General features: G+C 46.7%; 1 protein-coding gene and 1 pseudogene across 1 annotated transcript in view, besides 13 other annotated features; one reads left to right on the forward strand and one right to left on the reverse strand.

Moving 5' to 3' along the window:
- Positions 1–12,095, reverse strand: part of ZNF367 (zinc finger protein 367) — a 32,430-nt gene extending 20,335 nt beyond the window's left edge. Inside the window, exon 1 of the mRNA NM_153695.4 lies at positions 11,338–12,095. Within this exon, the coding sequence (NP_710162.1) occupies positions 11,338–11,757 (420 nt within the window). The 5' untranslated portion in view covers positions 11,758–12,095. The remainder of the gene's footprint in view (positions 1–11,337) is intronic.
- Positions 900–1,705, forward strand: NSA2P7 (NSA2 pseudogene 7; annotated as a pseudogene).
- Positions 6,931–7,100: an enhancer, noted in NCBI's record as "experimental_110873 CRE fragment used in MPRA reporter constructs". NCBI's record gives its function as "activates a minimal promoter by MPRAs in K562 erythroleukemia cells, with activity observed for the non-introgressed 9:99175573 variant allele {active_cell/tissue: K562}" and the evidence as "EXISTENCE:reporter gene assay evidence [ECO:0000049][PMID:34662402]".
- Positions 7,404–7,533: an enhancer, noted in NCBI's record as "active region_28652". NCBI's record gives its function as "activates an Ori minimal core promoter by ATAC-STARR-seq in GM12878 lymphoblastoid cells {active_cell/tissue: GM12878}" and the evidence as "EXISTENCE:reporter gene assay evidence [ECO:0000049][PMID:35858748]".
- Positions 10,662–10,901: an enhancer, noted in NCBI's record as "active region_28653". NCBI's record gives its function as "activates an Ori minimal core promoter by ATAC-STARR-seq in GM12878 lymphoblastoid cells {active_cell/tissue: GM12878}" and the evidence as "EXISTENCE:reporter gene assay evidence [ECO:0000049][PMID:35858748]".
- Positions 11,262–11,501: a silencer, noted in NCBI's record as "silent region_20079". NCBI's record gives its function as "represses an Ori minimal core promoter by ATAC-STARR-seq in GM12878 lymphoblastoid cells {active_cell/tissue: GM12878}" and the evidence as "EXISTENCE:reporter gene assay evidence [ECO:0000049][PMID:35858748]".
- Positions 11,802–11,941: a silencer, noted in NCBI's record as "silent region_20080". NCBI's record gives its function as "represses an Ori minimal core promoter by ATAC-STARR-seq in GM12878 lymphoblastoid cells {active_cell/tissue: GM12878}" and the evidence as "EXISTENCE:reporter gene assay evidence [ECO:0000049][PMID:35858748]".
- Positions 12,052–12,711: a silencer, noted in NCBI's record as "silent region_20081". NCBI's record gives its function as "represses an Ori minimal core promoter by ATAC-STARR-seq in GM12878 lymphoblastoid cells {active_cell/tissue: GM12878}" and the evidence as "EXISTENCE:reporter gene assay evidence [ECO:0000049][PMID:35858748]".
- Positions 12,052–12,909: a biological region, named in NCBI's record as "H3K27ac hESC enhancer GRCh37_chr9:99180933-99181466".
- Positions 12,376–12,909: an enhancer, noted in NCBI's record as "H3K27ac hESC enhancer chr9:99180933-99181466 (GRCh37/hg19 assembly coordinates)". NCBI's record gives its function as "activates a minimal SCP1, AML or CMV promoter by ChIP-STARR-seq in naive and primed H9 embryonic stem cells {active_cell/tissue: H9 hESC(naive and primed)}" and the evidence as "EXISTENCE:reporter gene assay evidence [ECO:0000049][PMID:30033119]".
- Positions 12,910–13,443: an enhancer, noted in NCBI's record as "H3K27ac hESC enhancer chr9:99181467-99182000 (GRCh37/hg19 assembly coordinates)". NCBI's record gives its function as "activates a minimal SCP1, AML or CMV promoter by ChIP-STARR-seq in naive H9 embryonic stem cells {active_cell/tissue: H9 hESC(naive)}" and the evidence as "EXISTENCE:reporter gene assay evidence [ECO:0000049][PMID:30033119]".
- Positions 12,972–13,241: a silencer, noted in NCBI's record as "silent region_20082". NCBI's record gives its function as "represses an Ori minimal core promoter by ATAC-STARR-seq in GM12878 lymphoblastoid cells {active_cell/tissue: GM12878}" and the evidence as "EXISTENCE:reporter gene assay evidence [ECO:0000049][PMID:35858748]".
- Positions 13,960–15,159: an enhancer, noted in NCBI's record as "BRD4-independent group 4 enhancer chr9:99182517-99183716 (GRCh37/hg19 assembly coordinates)". NCBI's record gives its function as "activates an origin of replication core promoter dependent on BRD2, P300/CBP, MED14 and CDK7 cofactors, and independent of BRD4, by STARR-seq in HCT116 cells {active_cell/tissue: HCT116}" and the evidence as "EXISTENCE:reporter gene assay evidence [ECO:0000049][PMID:35650434]".
- Positions 13,960–15,762: a biological region, named in NCBI's record as "BRD4-independent group 4 enhancer GRCh37_chr9:99182517-99183716".
- Positions 14,976–15,762: an enhancer, noted in NCBI's record as "H3K27ac hESC enhancer chr9:99183533-99184319 (GRCh37/hg19 assembly coordinates)". NCBI's record gives its function as "activates a minimal SCP1, AML or CMV promoter by ChIP-STARR-seq in primed H9 embryonic stem cells {active_cell/tissue: H9 hESC(primed)}" and the evidence as "EXISTENCE:reporter gene assay evidence [ECO:0000049][PMID:30033119]".

Raw genomic sequence — 15,971 nt, forward strand, 5'->3', positions numbered from 1 at the left:
CAAAGCCTTCCAAAAGCTTAAACATCAGCCTGAAACCTTGAAGGATAGTAATAAGCTACAGCAAAATTCCCTTCAATCAAATTTTCACATTGAAAGAAAAGTTCAATCCCTACATGGATGAATTATCTTCTAGGATAAATCATGTTTTATGAAAATCCTTAGATATTAAAATCTATATTCAGCACAACTTAATGACCTGATTTCAGTCTTATACCATGAATATTCAAATTAGTTGTACACTTACTACTTTTATTCTGAAAGTCTAAAGAAAGTTTTCAAAAGATTTAATGAAGTCTTTACCTATTTTTCCTTTAGTCTTTAGATTCAGGCAGCGTACTAAACAGGAACACCTAAAAATTATTAATAACTGAAGAAATATGTTTTATGTTGGTAAATTCTCATTAGCCATTACAGTTAACTTTTTTAATGATTAAGACCGTGGGGGCCGGGCACGGTGGCTCACGCCTGTAATCCCAGCACTTTGGGAGGCCGAGGCAGGCGGATCACGAGGTCAACAGATTGAGACCATCCTGGCTAACACAGTGAAACCCCATCTCTACTAAAAAAATACAAAAAATTAGCTGGGCGCGGTGGGGGGCGCCTGTAGTCCCAGCTACTCGGGAGGCTGAGGCAGGAGAATGGCGTGAACCCGGGAGGCAGAGCTTGCAGTCAGCCGAGATCGCACCACTGCACTCCAGCCTGGGTGACAGAGCAAGACTCCATCTCAAAAAAAAAAAAAAAAAAAAAAAAAAAGAACGTGGGGGTCAGGCACAATGGCTCACATCTGTAATCCTAGCACTTTGGGAGTCTGAGGTGATAGGGTCGCTTGAGGCCGGAAGTTAGAGACCAACCTGGGCAACATAGCAAGACCCCATCTCTATTATTAAATAAATAAATAGCTTTCCTGTCCCGGCCTGCGTGGCGTGGGCTTGTGGGTCTTTGAGACCCGAAAATTGAGAGCATTTTCGCACCCCAGGGGCTGCTCCTGGCGGCTCTGCGGCCGTCACCATGCCACAGAACGAATATATTGAATTACACCGTAAACGCTATGGATACCGTTTGGATTACCATGAGAAAAAGAGAAAGAAGGAAAGTCGAGAGGCTCATGAACGTTCAAAGAAGGCAAAGAAAATGATTGGTCTGAAGGCTAAGCTTTAACATAAACAGCGCCATGCTGAGAAAATATAAATGAAAAAAAGACTATCAAAGATGCATGAAAAGAAAAACACCAAACAAAAGAATGATGAAAAGACTCCACAGGGAGCAGTACCTGCCTATCTGCTGGACAGAGAGGGACAATCTCGAGCTAAAGTACTTTCCAATATGATTAAACAGAAACGAAAAGAGAAGGCGGGAAAATGGGAAGTCCCTCTGCCTAAAGTACGTGCCCAGGGAGAAGCAGAAGTATTAAAAGTTATTCGAACAGGAAAGAAGGCATGGAAGAGGATAGTTACTAACGTGTGCTTTGTTGGAGATGGCTTTACAAGAAAACCACCTAAATATGAAAGATTCATCAGGCCAATGAGACGGGGTTTCACCGTGTTAGCCAGGATGGTCTCGATCTCTCTGATCCGCCCGCCTTAGCCTCCCAAAGTGCTGGAATTACAGGCATGAGCCACCGCGCCCGGCCAACGTGAGTAATTTTTAATAGATTAAAATATTGGCAAATAGCCTGTTTCTGTAAATAAAGTTTTAATGGAACACAAAATAAATAAATAAATAAATAAATAAATAAATAAATAAACGTTGGACACAGGAAGGGGAACATCACACACCGGGCCTGTCGCGGGGTGGCGGGAGCGGGGAGGGATAGCATTAGGAGATATACCTAATGTAAATGACGAGTTAATGGGTGCAGCACACCAACATGGCACATGTATACATATGGAACAAACCTGCACGTTGTGCACATGTACCCTAGAACTTAAAGTATAATAAATAAATAAATAATAAATATTTTTTAAAAAACAATGTGGGAAGGCTACATATACAAAAGAAATGAAAACAGAATCTCAAAGACATATTTGCACATCTGTGTTCATTGCAGCATTATTCACAATCGATAGCAACCCAAATGTCCACTGACTGATGAATGGATAAATAGTGCTATATACAGTTTAGCCTAAGCAAACTCAGTGTGTTAGTAACAATGGAAAACTACTCAGCCTTCAGAAAGATGGAAATCCTGCCATATGCCATAACATGGATGAACCTTTAGGAAATTATGCTAAGTAAAACAAACCAGTGACAAAAAGGCAAATACTGCATAATTTTACCTATATGAGGTATCTGAGGTCATCAAACTCTTAGAAGAGTGGTGGTGGCCAGGGACTAGAGAGGGGCGGGGGAAAGGCAAGTTCAGTGAGTATAGAGTTTGTTTTACAAGATGAATAAATTCTAGGGACTTGTTGCACAACCGTTTACATATAGTCAACACTACTGTACTGTATACTTAAAAATGGTTAAGGTAGAAAATATTATCGGGTTTTTGCCACAATTTTTAAAATGTCAGAAGGCACTGTGGCAGATATTATTGCAAAAACATTCACTGCCCCTTTCACTGTGGGTCCAGAGTGCAACTTAGCCATATGACTTGCTTTGGCCAATAAAATGTGAGTGAAAATAGCCTGTGTAGTTTGGATGTTTGTCCCCTCCAAATCTCATGTTGAAATTTGATCCCCAGTATTGGAGGCGGAGCCTAGTGGAACGTGTCTGGGTCATAAAGACAGATCCCTCATGAACATCTAGACGCTGTGCTCGCTCATATTGTTACCATGAGATCTGACTGTTAAAAAAAGCCTGTCACTTCCTCCCCTCCCTCTTGTTCCCTCTCTCACCATGTGAAACCTGCTCCCCTTCGCCTTCTGCCTTGATTCGAAGCTCCCTGAGGTCCCTCACCAGAAGCAGATTCTGGTGCCATGCCTCTGGTACAGCCTGCAGAACTACAACCCAAATAAACCTATTTTCCTCATAAATCACCCACCTTCAGGTATTCTTTTATAGCAATGCAAAATGGACTAATACAACATACGGTTCTACCATCTCTGTTTTCTCTCTGCTTTGAGACCCATCTGTCCCAGCTTGGAGAGATTCCTTCAGGATCCTAGAATGAACAGAATGTGGAGCACACCAGTGGTCAACCCTCCCAGGACACATAACATGAGCCATGTTGAGGCTGAGATTGCCATCTTGAAGTTGCATTCTGCAGCCTGCTTTTTAGCCTGAGCTAACTGACTCAGTGGGTTAGTAACGAATATCTGTTGATGAAACAAAAAGCTCATCAACCTTACTTAATTACTCAAGAAATTCCCATGCATAATGAAACAGGAATTAGCAAGATCCTAATGGACCATGACTTATTAAAGTACAAATTAACAAATCAACTTCTGGCCATGATTGGTGGTCATCAAATTCTTTCATCTTCTTTACTCCTTGGCTGTGATCCTCAGTAGCCACATATAGCTCAAGTCTTGCTTGCTAAAATTATTAACACAGAGTCAGACAGAAGGAGCTACACAGGAGTGAAATCTTCATTGCCATCATTTATTAAGCCACAATAATTTCATGGATTATTGCTGGTTATGGTCATATCATGAATAATTGTTTTAATAAGTACAAAATAAATATAAAAGAATATAGCATCTGTGATCAATAAAAATAGGAGCTGATTCTGTTAAGAAAGAAACAGAACATGAAATCAGGACAATTAAAAACCACAGGCCAGGCGCGGTGGCTCACGCCTGTAATCCCAGCACTTTGGGAGGTCGAGGTGGGTGGATCACGAGGTCAGGAGATTGAGACCATGGTGAAACCCTGTCTCTACTAAAAATGCAAAAAATTAGCTGGGCGCAGTGGCGGGCGCCTGTAGTCCCAGCTACTCGGGAGGCTGAGGCAGAATGGCGTGGACCTGGGAGGCGGAGGTTGCAGTGGCCGAGATCGCACCACTGCACTCCAGCCTGGGCGACAGAGTGAAACTCTGTCTCAAAAAAAAAAGCCATAGGCCTGGCTGGGCGTGGTGGCTCACGCCTGTAATCCCAGCACTTTGGGAGACCGAGGCGGGTGGATCACGCGGTCAGGAGATCGAGACCATCCTGGCTAACACGGTGAAATCCCGTCTCTACTAAAAAATACAAAAAATTAGCCGGGCGTGGTGGCGGGTGCCTGTAGTCCCAGCTACTCGGGAGGCTGAGGCAGGAGAATGGCGTGAATCCAGGAGGCGGAGCTTGCAGTGAGCCGAGATGGCACCATTGCACTCCAGCCTGGGCAACAGAGAGAGACTCCGTCTCAAAAAAAAAAAAAAAAAACAAAAAAAACCATAGACCAGGCACGGTGGCTCACGCCTGTAATCCCAACACTTGGGGAGGCCGAGGTGGGTGGATCACAAGGTCAACAGATCGAGACCATCCTGGCCAACATGGTGAAACCCCGTCTCTACTAAAAATACAAAAAAAAATTAGCTGGGTGTGGTGGCACGCGCCTATAGTCCCAGCTACTTGGGAGGCTGAGGAAGGAGAATCGCTTGAACCCGGGAGACAGAGGTTGCAGTAACCCGAGATTGCACCACTGCACTCCAGCCTGGCAACAGAGCGAGACTCTGTCAAAAACAAAACAAAACAAAACAAAACAAAAAAAACATAGTGGCTGGCCACAGTGGCTCACGCCTGTAATCCCAACACTTTTAAGAGGCCAAGGCAAGAGGATCACTTGAACTCGGAATTCAAGACCAGCCTGGACAACATAGTGTGACTCCATCTCTACAAAAAAAAAAAAAAACATAGCCAGGTGTGGTGGCATACACCTGTGGTCCCATACTCAGGAGGATCACTTGAACCCGATAGGCCAAGGCGGCAGTGAGCCATGATTGCGCCACTGTACTCCAGCCTGGGCGACAGAGACCTTGTCTCAAAACAAACAAACAAAAAAACCTTAGTGATACAAGTCCTCTGCCATAAAAGGATCCCTTTCCTAGTATTTTTACATATGTAAGAAAGGCTGGGCGCCGTGGCTCATGCCTGTAATCCCACTGCTTGGGAATTTGAGGCAGGAGAATTGCTTGAGTCCAAGAGTTTGAGATCAGCCTGGGCAGCATAGCAAGACCCCTGTCTACAAAAAAAAAAAAGGCCAGGTGTGATATACACCTGAAGTCCCAGCTACTCAGGAGGCTGAGGTGGGAGGATCACTTGAGGCTGAGGTGGGAGGATCACTTGAGAGTGGGAGTTCAAGGCTGCAGTGAGCCCTAACAGTGCCACTGCACTCAGCCTGGGTGACAGAGTGAGACTTCGTCTGAAAAACATAAAAAATAAGTAAACAAATAAATATGCAAGAACATATTGCTGACTTTTGCAATTTGAAATAACTGATTAGTTAACATAAAAAAAAAAGTTAACCATATGGCTGCCTCCCAGCAACTCTAAGAGACTGTTTCTGCCACCAGCAACACATTTATATTTTCCAAATGAGAAATGGAGTGAGTGCTGAAATATACAGCATAATACAACATACTGGCCATATACAGGGAAGGGTTCACTAAGTGCATTCTTTTGGGTTTTTTTGTTTTGTTTTTGTTTTTTGAGATGGACTCTGGCTCTGTCGCCCAGGCTAGAGTACAGTGGCATGATCTCAGCTCACTGCAACCTCCGCCTCCTGGGTTCATGCGATTCTCCTGCCTCAGCCTCCCAAGTAGCTGGGACTATAGGCAAGCGTCACCATGCCCAGCTAATTAATAAGTGCATTATTTTAGCTCAGAAAATAAGACAAAACAAATAATCATATAATGCCCTAAATAAATGAATAAAGACCATCTTTTAACAATACATATTAAAATAAGCAATGTTACTTAAAGAGGACCCTCTTCCTTTTGGCCTTAACAATGAGAAAACCATGTTTCTAGGCATCTTCGGACAATTACAGAGTGTTACACTCAGCAGCCAAGTGCACCTGGAGGCTAAGGACAGATCTTGTCAAGACTGTTGACGATTCGCAACACAAAATTATTAAATTGCCAAAAACTTTTGCATACCTTAGTAATTATAATTTTAAAAACAATCTCCATACCTCTAGAAGGTTGATTAGTGATTTTGAAAGTGTTTAGTCATGTGATAACTAAAAAACCTAAAAGTCCTTGACACATTTTTATAAGTAGAATTCAAATAAAGGGAACAAGCACAACCTAGAAGGAAAACAAAAATAGGTCTCAGAGGGAGGCGTGTGAACCTTTTCACATTCAGATTTAGATACAAACTTCCCATGACTTGCATACATGCTTCCTAACTTGTAACTACCTACTTCCCATCCTGACCTATCTTCACAACTTCTCAAGTTTTAATTCCAGTTTATTGAATTGAGTGCACTTTTATAAAGCATCTCAATTGAGACATAGATAAGCTATACATAGTATGTATTTCTTTTTTCTTTTTCTTTTCTTTTTTTTTTTTTTTTGAGACAGAATCTCGCTTAGTCGCCCAGGCTGGAGTGCAGTGGCACAATCTCAGCTCATTGCAACCTCTGCCTCCCGGGTTCATGTGATTCTCATGCCTCAGCCTCCCGAGTAGCCGGGACTATAGGTGTGCACCACCATGCCCAGCTAATTTTTTTGTATTTTTAGTAGAGACAGGGTTTCACCATGTTGGCCAGGTTGGTCTCAAACTCCTGGCCTCAAGTGATCCATCCACCTTGGCCTCTCAAAGTGCTGGGATTACAGGCATCAGCCAGCATGCCCGGCCAATAGTATGTATTTCTTATGTCTACTTATCTCAGCTTAATATTTAAAAAACAAAAATAAACCCCTGAAGTCTATTTACATGTGATAGTCCCAGGAGCAGTGCAGTATAGGGACTAAGAACAGGGACTCTAGAAGGTTCCGATCAGTTCTGCCACTTACCATACAATCTTAACTAGATTTTGTCTTGGGGACTCTAATTTCTCATTCCTCATCAGGTAAACAGGATAAAATGAATTAAAGAATTCAAAATGCTCAACACAGAGCCCAGCAGTTTGCTGCTAACATTATGAAATGCTTACTCTGTGCCAGGCAATAAATAGTGCCTACTATGTTAACATGATGTTAGGTTTAACATGGTGCTCAAACATTACTATTCATAAATACTATGAATTTATGTATTATGTATAAAGTATTTAAAAATCAGCTATTCGTAACAGTATGTACAGTCTAGGTTTTGAAGTGTTCAGGTGACACAGAAAGGGGAAGTAGGATACGGCAGCCGGTAGATCCTGTAGGGTGAATAGTATCTGAGAAGCCAGACCCCACCAGCCCCAGTGAAGAAGTAACTTCAAATGCAGTCTTAGTAGAGGGCACAGGGACAAGGTGGGGAGCCTTGGAACAACTTGTGGCAGAAGGCAGTTAGACCTGCTTTCTTCCCTCTCAGAATTCTACAATCCAGAAGAAGATAATATATAATTATATGCCAACAGTGCTAAGCACTCGTGTGATGAGCAGCCAAAATAAGCTAGTAGGTGTTCCCACAGGCGAGGGAGGCAGTGTTGGGCAGGAACAATCAAAAGAGCAAGAGAAAGCTGACACAGGGTGTGCAGGACTCAGACGCTGACACCTCCCCTGGGAGAAGTGGCAAAGAATAGACAGTAAATGAACGCAAATATTGTTCTCAAACCCACAGCTGTTAGTGCCTCTATGTGGCATATTGGGAGAATGTTATTGGCACTGGCTATATTGCAGACTTGTCTCCTCTCTTCCCCAAAAATGAGCAGACTCAGCACAATTCCCTGATGATGCACATGGAGATAAGGAACTACAAGTACTTTAAAGAAGCAAAACAGTAAAACAGGCTGGGACTCTCTATCTTTGTAGTTCAGTGTACTGACCACAAATCAAACTAAGCAACTTCCTTATTTTTTTCTTTTTCCTTCTTGCCCCCACAAAGCTTAGTCTAGCTAGCAACTTTCTTAAATAAAGGTGTATTCCAGACCCTTCTGTCTTACGGTGGGAAAGCTAAATAAATGAATTTTTGGAGCTGCATGTGGATTGCTTCATCAATAGAAAGACATATTCAAATCAATTTACCAAATAATTTATGAAAGTTACAACAGGAAAAACTACATGAGAAAAGAAAAAAGCAGAAATATAAAACAGCCATTTCACTTTTACATGTTTTTTACAACCGTTGGTATACTTTACCTCTGAAAAGAGGTGTACAGCATGGAAATACAATTCAAACCCATGCATCTTGTTAGCAATTTTTTTTTTTTAAGACGGAGTCTCACTGTGGCCAGGCTGGAGTGCAGTTGCACGATCTCGGCTCACTGCAACCTCCGTCTCCAGGGTTCATGTGATTCTCCTGCCTTAGCCTCCCAAGTAGCTGGGACTACAGGGGTGTGCCACCACACCCAGGTAATTTTTGTATTTTTAGTAGAGACAGGGTTTCACCATGTTGGCCAGGATGGTCTCGATCTCTTGACCTCGTGACCAGCCAGCCTCGGCCTCCCAAAGTGCTGGGATTACAGGCGTGAGCCTCCGCGCCTGGCCACAGTTAGCAATTTTTATAAAATGTCTGGGTAAGGACAAGTCTGTTTTAGGCCAAAAACAACATACCTATAGATTTCATCTATATAACATTAATCTTCTTGGGTGATCCAGAACTAGATTAATCTATAAGAATAAAACCATAAAGGCAAAATCTTACACAAGAACTTATGAATGTATGCCTTTATATTGTTCAACTACATAATCTAATTTAGTGTTTTTTTTAAAAGACTAAAACTTATAAATGGTTAACACAAAAATACCTAGGATACCCATCCAAATTTTTTTTTTTTTTTTTCTGAGACAGAGTCTTGCTCTGTCGCCCAGGCTGGAGTGCAGTGGCACGATCTCGGCTCACTGCAAGCTCCGCCTCCCGGGTTCACGCCATTCTCCTGCCTCAGCCTCCCGAGCAGGTGGGACTACAGGCGCCAGCCACCACCCCTGGCCAATTTTTTTTTTTTTTTTTTTGTATTTTTAGTAGAGACGGGGTTTCACCGTGTTAGCCAGGATGGTCTCTATCTCCTGACCTTGTGATCCGCCTGCCTCGGTGTCCCAAAGTGCTTGGATTACAGGCGTGAGCCACCCACCCGGTGGATACCGATCCATCTTACATCTCACTAGGGGATACCTAGAGGCAGCCCAACAGCAACTGTAGCCTTTAGTAATACTCAGCAATACTATCAACGCTTCTATCGTTAGTTTCTTCATTTTTTTTTTTTTTTTTTTTTTTTTTTTTTTTTTTTGAGACGGAGTCTCACTCTGTCCCCCAGGCTGGAGTGCAATGGCGCAATCTCGGCTCACTGCAACCGCCGCCTCCCGAGTTCTACCAATTCTCCTGCCTTAGCCTCCCAAGTAGCTGGGATTACGGGCGCCCGCCACCACGTCCGGCGAATTTTTATATTTTTAGTAGAGACAGGGTTTCACCATGTTGGTCAGGCTGGTCTCGAACTCCTGGACCTCAGGTGATCCACCCGCCTCAGCCTCCCAAAGTGCTGGGATTACAGGCGTGAGCCACCGCACCTGGCAAGTTTCTTCAATTTTTGTTAAAGAGTTGAGGTCTTGCTTTGTCACCCAGACTGAAGTGCAGTGGTGCTATCATGTCTCACTGTAGCCTCAAACTCCTGGTCTCAAGTGATCCTCCTGCCTCAGCCTCCCATGTAGCTACGTATATAGGTGCAGGCCGCCAGATGCGGTCTATGTTGCCCAGGCTGGTCTTGAACTCCTGGTCTCAAGTGATTCCCCAGCCTCAGCCTCCTGAAGGGATCACAGGCATGAGCCACCTCACCAGGCTCTGTTATGGTTTTTTTTTTTGTTGTTTTTTTTTTTTTTTTTTGAGACGGATTCTCGCTCTTTTGCACAGGCTGGAGCGCAGTGGCCTGATTTCAGTTCCCTGCAAGCTCCGCCTCCCGCTTCACGCCATTCTCCTACCTCAGCCTCCCGAGTAGCTGGGACTACAGGCGCCCACCACCAAGCCCGGCTAATTTTTTGTATTTTGAGTAAAGACGGGGTTTCACCGTGTTAGCCAGGATGGTCTTGATCTCCTGACCTCGTGATCCGCCCGCCTCTGCCTCGCAAAGTTCTGGGATTACAGGCGTGAGCCACCGCACCCGGCCCAGGTTCTGTTCTTTCAAATGTTTACTGAGGTGCAGTTTCAAGAGCTGAAGTGTATAAAAACCTATAGTTTTATAACCTTATAATTATTTAATAATAATGCCACATAAAATATATCAATTTCCTCAAAACCCAAACAATGTAGTTTCAACATCCTTGTGACTGCATGTAAAATGATCAAACTCGTTTCAACTTATACATTATGTGCTGATACAGATGCAGTTATCCACTATGTGATTTACTTGTTATCTCTTGCAAATTGCTTATCTTATACAGCCACTTAACAAATGGAACCTGGATATTACCCTTCTGTTAGCACCATTCATTCATTACACAAATATTTTTTGAGCACCTTTATTGAGCATTTACAGAATGTAAGGTAGTAAAGTCATATAGTCTTCTAGATAGAAATACTCCTGGCTCACCTGGAGCTTACAGTCTACAGAGTTCAGTATAAGTCAGCAGAAAGTCACCCCAAACACATGCAGGACTAAAAGCCACAAAACCTCGACCTAGTCCCCGCTCTTCCACTACTGAGCTGTGCCATCGTGGGAAGGTCGCCTCACTAATCACTGTAAGCCCCAGCTGCCTGATCTGTAAAATAGGTTTGAACCAGTGGTAACGACCTTCCCAGCTTTAAGCAGTCGGAGACTGCAAGCAATTTTAGCGTCCCATTCCACTATGTGCTCTCAACACCTAGCAAGTAGTATGCTGGATAAATGAAAGGCAGCGAAGGCACAACTTCAGCCGCAGAACAGGCCCAGAAGTCCTTTCTTGCTCTTCGGCTGTCTCTGCAGGGCATCTTTTAACAGGGCGAGGGCGATCTGCAGTAATGGAGCAAACACTGTGCGCTCCCTGCCCTCTCGCAGTCGGTGGAACAACTCAAGGCCCTCATCCCTCTCGTTTCCTCTCGGAACTGAGGACTCGGCAGCCCGCCGGGAGGATGTCAGTGGCCGTTGACCCGGCCTCCCCAGCGACCCCGGGCCGCGCTCCCGCCCACTGCACCTGCCGCAAGGACGGTCTCCCGCGCCGCTCCCGCCTGTCACGTGACAGGCCCCCCCCGACTGGGGCCGGTTTTTGGCGCGCGGCAGTGACGTCAGCATCCTGTCAGCCGCAGCCCCCGCCGTAGCCGGATCGACCTCGCGTTTTCAACTCCGCCCCGCCCGCCGCACCGTTAACGGGCCCCGGCTGCCCCACGTCCCGCCCGCCCGCCCGCCCGCGCCGCTCACCTTGAGGTGGCCGCTGTCTGGGCTGCTCGCTTCCTCCTCGTCCTCACCTCCCGAGGCGGCGGCGGAGGCCGAGGCGGCGGGCGGGGGCGCGCCCCGGCCACGAAGCCCCGAGTGCTCGGCGGCTGCGGCTGCAGGCAGGGCGGCCGAGGCGGCGGCCCCCGCGGCCCCAGGGCTGAGCGTCACGTTGTGTGCGTTCTCGCCCCAGCGCCACGGGTACACCATGAAGTCGCTGAAGCCGGGGCTGGTGGGGATGAGCGGCGGCGGCGGCTCCGGCTCCCCTCCACCGCCGCACGTTGGCTTGATCGGGGTCGTCCTGATGACCGACACCAGCACCCGCTTCGGGGAGTCGTGGCAGAAGATGACGGGCGGCGGCGGCGGCGGCGGGTTCTCCGCCATGGGCGCCTCGAAGCCCCGGATCATCGCCCGGCCCGACCCCCAGCTCCGGCGGCCCCGGGCCGCACTCCTGAGCACCGCTCTGCCCCTCACTCGCTCTGCTCCGAGTCGCAGGCTCAGTCCTGCCGGCTCATGGCAGACTGACGTTTCCCGGAATCCTGCGCAGCAGCCACCTAACTAGTTGAGCAGACGGCACCGGCGGGCAGGGCTGGACCCCAGCCCCAGGTCAAGCGCGCCCTCCGCTCTTTGTACTCCGCAGCGCAGGCTGCAGGGGTGGGAAGCAGCGGGCGGCCCGGCCCTTGCGGTGACAGGAAAGCAGGACGCGCGGCGCTGAGCCCCCAAAAATAACAACCTGCCGCCGCGGTGCCTGCCCCGGCTTTTCCCGCGTTACATTTCGCGCCTGGGCGGAACCAGTCACCGCGAGGCCGCTGCCCGCTGGCCGCACCGGCGAGTGACAGGCGGCGCGAGCCAATGGCCAGGCCTGGCCTTCTTTCCAGCCGGCCGGGGCGGGGCCGGGTCTGCGCGCGGGTCCTTCCCACCTCGCCATTGGCCGCCGCTCTTATATTTTTTTCTGTCTGGAGGGCCAACAGCGTTCGAAACTCCAGTGGAGCGCGCGGCGTCTCCACTCGCCCGGACACACCCGCCTGCCGCCCCGCCCCGCCGTCCCTCCGCGTGGTTAGTCCGGGCCAGGGAGACAAGGGCGGCGGGGAGGGCGGCAAGAGGGCGGCTGATTGGACAGCGGCGGGGCGGGGTCGGGGGGGGTGGTGATCGTTGGGCGGTGGAGGCGCGCGCCCCGCTCGGCCCCGCCCGCCGTTGGTTGTTGGGCCGCGGTTCCCGCGCGCAGGGAGTTTAAAGGGCTGGGGCCCCGCCGCCCGCCCCGCCCTCGGTCCCACCACCCGCCCGGCGGCTGGAGTCTCTGCTGCCCGAGGTCCTGATGGGCACCCGGCGTGCCTGGTTTCTTAATCGAGTTCCGTCTGCTCAGCTGTTGCACGCTCTGTGAACCAGCCCTGTCAGCACCGCCCTGACTCCTCCGGGCCGATTGTGGGCCTCCGGTTCCCCATCTGTGGAAAGGGGAGAGTCCAGGAAGTGGCCTCCGAAGTCCCTGCGGGCCGCTCGCGGCGCGGAGGCCACAAGAGCCGGGCGAGAGTAGACACTCTCACCCTGGACTGATGCCCCGAAGTTGCCTCGGGGATCTCCCCACCCCGGCGACCCCGCTCTACCGAGCGGCTGCTCCGGGAGTCGGGGCAGCGCCCTACTTTGCTCGGCCCCCACCTGCCCCGGCCGCGTCCTAGTACTCGCGCCGGGACGCGCGGAGCCCCAACGTCCTCTGCCCGCCCCGCCCCAGCCCCGCCTGGCTGGCGCCGACCGCGGCCCGGGTGGGGCTCGCAGGCTGCAGAGGAAGGACCGGGCGGAGGGGTTGCCCGGCTTCCTACCCGCTAGATGTGGCCTGGGGAGCTGCGTTTTGTTCTTGGGAATACAGATTCCCAGGCACCGCCTGATTCGCGGTAGGGGCTCAATAAATATTTGCTGAATGGATGAATGAATATCCATTGGTTAAGGGTTAGGATTGGTAATTAAGTTAGAACACGACTGTATAATAACAGATAACTAAGCTGAATAGCTTTTCTCTCTGTGAAAGACACACAAATGCACAGCTATGACTAAATTAAGCCACAATTGTTTAAAAACAAATAAAGGAAACTGTACTGATATGAACAATTTCAAAAATGTATTTTTATTTTAAAAGGCAAAACAAGCAATAGTGTGATTTTATGTAAAATTGTTAAAGTGGGGAAAATACGTTTTTACTTTTAGACGTACATAAAATATCTGGCAAGATGCAAAAGAAACATGGATCATGGAGGGAAATTGTGTGGCTGGGAACAGAAGTGAAAAGATTTCAAGAAATACAATATATAACTATCTTTTGAACTTTGAACCAAGTGAAAGTATCCTTTTAAGAAATGAAACAGTATATAGCCTCCATTTTCTGGAGGCCTACTACAAAAATAGCATATATGTACTGATACACAATAATACATATGGATGTTTCACAGTTCACTCAACAATTGGGTAAGGAAGATATTTTTCCCATTTTATAAATGAGAAAAGTTGAGGCTTGTACAAGATTACATAATAAATCCTTTGGAAGAATAAGTCTGTACTGCCTGTGGATTATATTCAGTGTCTGCTGAGCAAAAGGAGGAAAAGGCTGAAAAATGGGACTCACACATTTCTCGGTCCCGTTTCTCATATTCCAAAACTTTCAGGGTTTAGGGGCAAATTTCATATTGTAATGGTTGATCTAGAAAGTTGAAAGTTCAGCCCTACTTTCACCTAATTTAGTAAACATACATTTTGTTTTTACAGTTTAATACCAAAAAACATATTTTTCTGAATCAGTTGGAAGGGAAATGTTATCCATCTGTTTTATACTTGACAAGTAGTGTAAAGAAAAAAGTGATCTATCCATCATGGACACTCGAATTAGGGGTTGAGCAAAATCCAACAGATTAATCACCAACAAATAGTTACTGTTTAACATTCAGAGCATGCCCCAGAGGGCAAGATGAATCATCCAGCACAGGATGCTGACTTTCTGCTTCTAAAAATTGCCCTTCATCAACAGTAACCTGGCAACTCCACTTGCTCTCTTCCCCAAGAGAATGAAAGACATGCCAGGAATGTGTGAACTGGGCAGAAGGTGATTCCAGGAGCAAAGCTGAGGTCATACCAGATCTTTGCTTGTTTGGCTCCATTTTCATGCAATGAAGAAGCTGTCTGAAGTGTATGGATCATATTCCTGATGTCTTTGTTCTGTCTCAGATATTAACAGCCCATAATGTCAGAGGCCTGTGAACCAGAGCAACTCCATTTTAAAAAGGAGCTGGGTAAAATGAGGCTGAAACCTACTGGGCTGCATTCCCAGACGGTTAAGGCATTCTAAGTCACAGCATTAGATAGGAGGTCAGCACAAAATACAGGTCATAAACACATTGCTGATAAAACAGGTTGCAGTAAAGGAACCGGCCAAAACTCACCAAAACCAAAATGGCCATGAGAGTGACCTGTGGTCCTCCTCAACTGCTACACTCCCACCAGCGCCGTGACAGTTTACAATGCCATGGCAACGTCAGAAGGTTACCCTATATGGTCTAAAAAGGGGAAGCATGAATAATCCACCCCTTGATTAGCATATCATCAAGAAATAACCATAAAAATGGGCAACCAGCAGCCCTCAGGGCTGCTCTGCCTATGGAGTAGCCATTCTTTATTCCTTTACTTTCTCAATAAACTTGCTTTCACTCTGCACTGCGGACTCGCCCTGAATTATTTCTTGTGAGAAATCCAAGAACCCTCTCTTGGGGTCTGGATCAGGACCCCTTTCCGGTAACAACAATACATACTAAATCTGAAAAATACTGAAACCTATCTCAGGATACTTACTATATTACTAAAGTAGCATTTTCAACTCTTAAAAATATAGGCCCCTTCAGCTGGGCGCGGTGGCTGACAGCTATAATCCCAGCACTTTGGGAGGCCGAGGTGGGCAGATCATGAATGAGGTCAGGAGATTGAGACCATCCTGGCTAACAGGGTGAAACCCCGTCTCTACTTAAAATACAAAAAATTAGCCGGGCGTAGTGGCGGGCGCCTGTAATCCCAGCTACTCGGAAGGCTGAGGCAGGAGAATGGCGTGAACCCGGAAGGTGGAGGTTGCAGTGAGTGGAGATCACGCCACTGCACTCCAGCCTGGGCGACAGAGCGAGACTCCATCTCAAAAAAAAAATATATATATATATAAGTAGATATATATATATATTTTATATATATAAGTAGATATATATATATTTTATATATATAAGTAGATATATATATTTTATATATGTATATATGTATATATATATATTTTATATATATGTATATATATATTTTACATATATATACCCCTTCTGATAAAGATAGAAACCTCAAACCCCGTTTTAAAAAAAATGTATTTTAAAGTTTCAAGATAAAATTGAAGTAAGACAAAGCAGCAGTTATTAAAGTCTATGTAAAACATAGCAGGCCAGGGGTGGTGGCTCACACCTGTAATCCCAGCACTTTGGGAGGCCAACGCAGATGGATCAACTGAGGTCAGGAGATCAAGTCCATCCTGGCCAACATGGTGAAACCCTATCTCTACTAAAAATCCAAAAACAATTAGCTGGGCATGGTGGCATGCGCCTGTGGTCCCAGCT

The sequence above is a fragment of the Homo sapiens genome, chromosome 9 (assembly GCF_000001405.40).
Source record: "Homo sapiens chromosome 9, GRCh38.p14 Primary Assembly".
Lineage (NCBI taxonomy): Eukaryota > Metazoa > Chordata > Mammalia > Primates > Hominidae > Homo > Homo sapiens.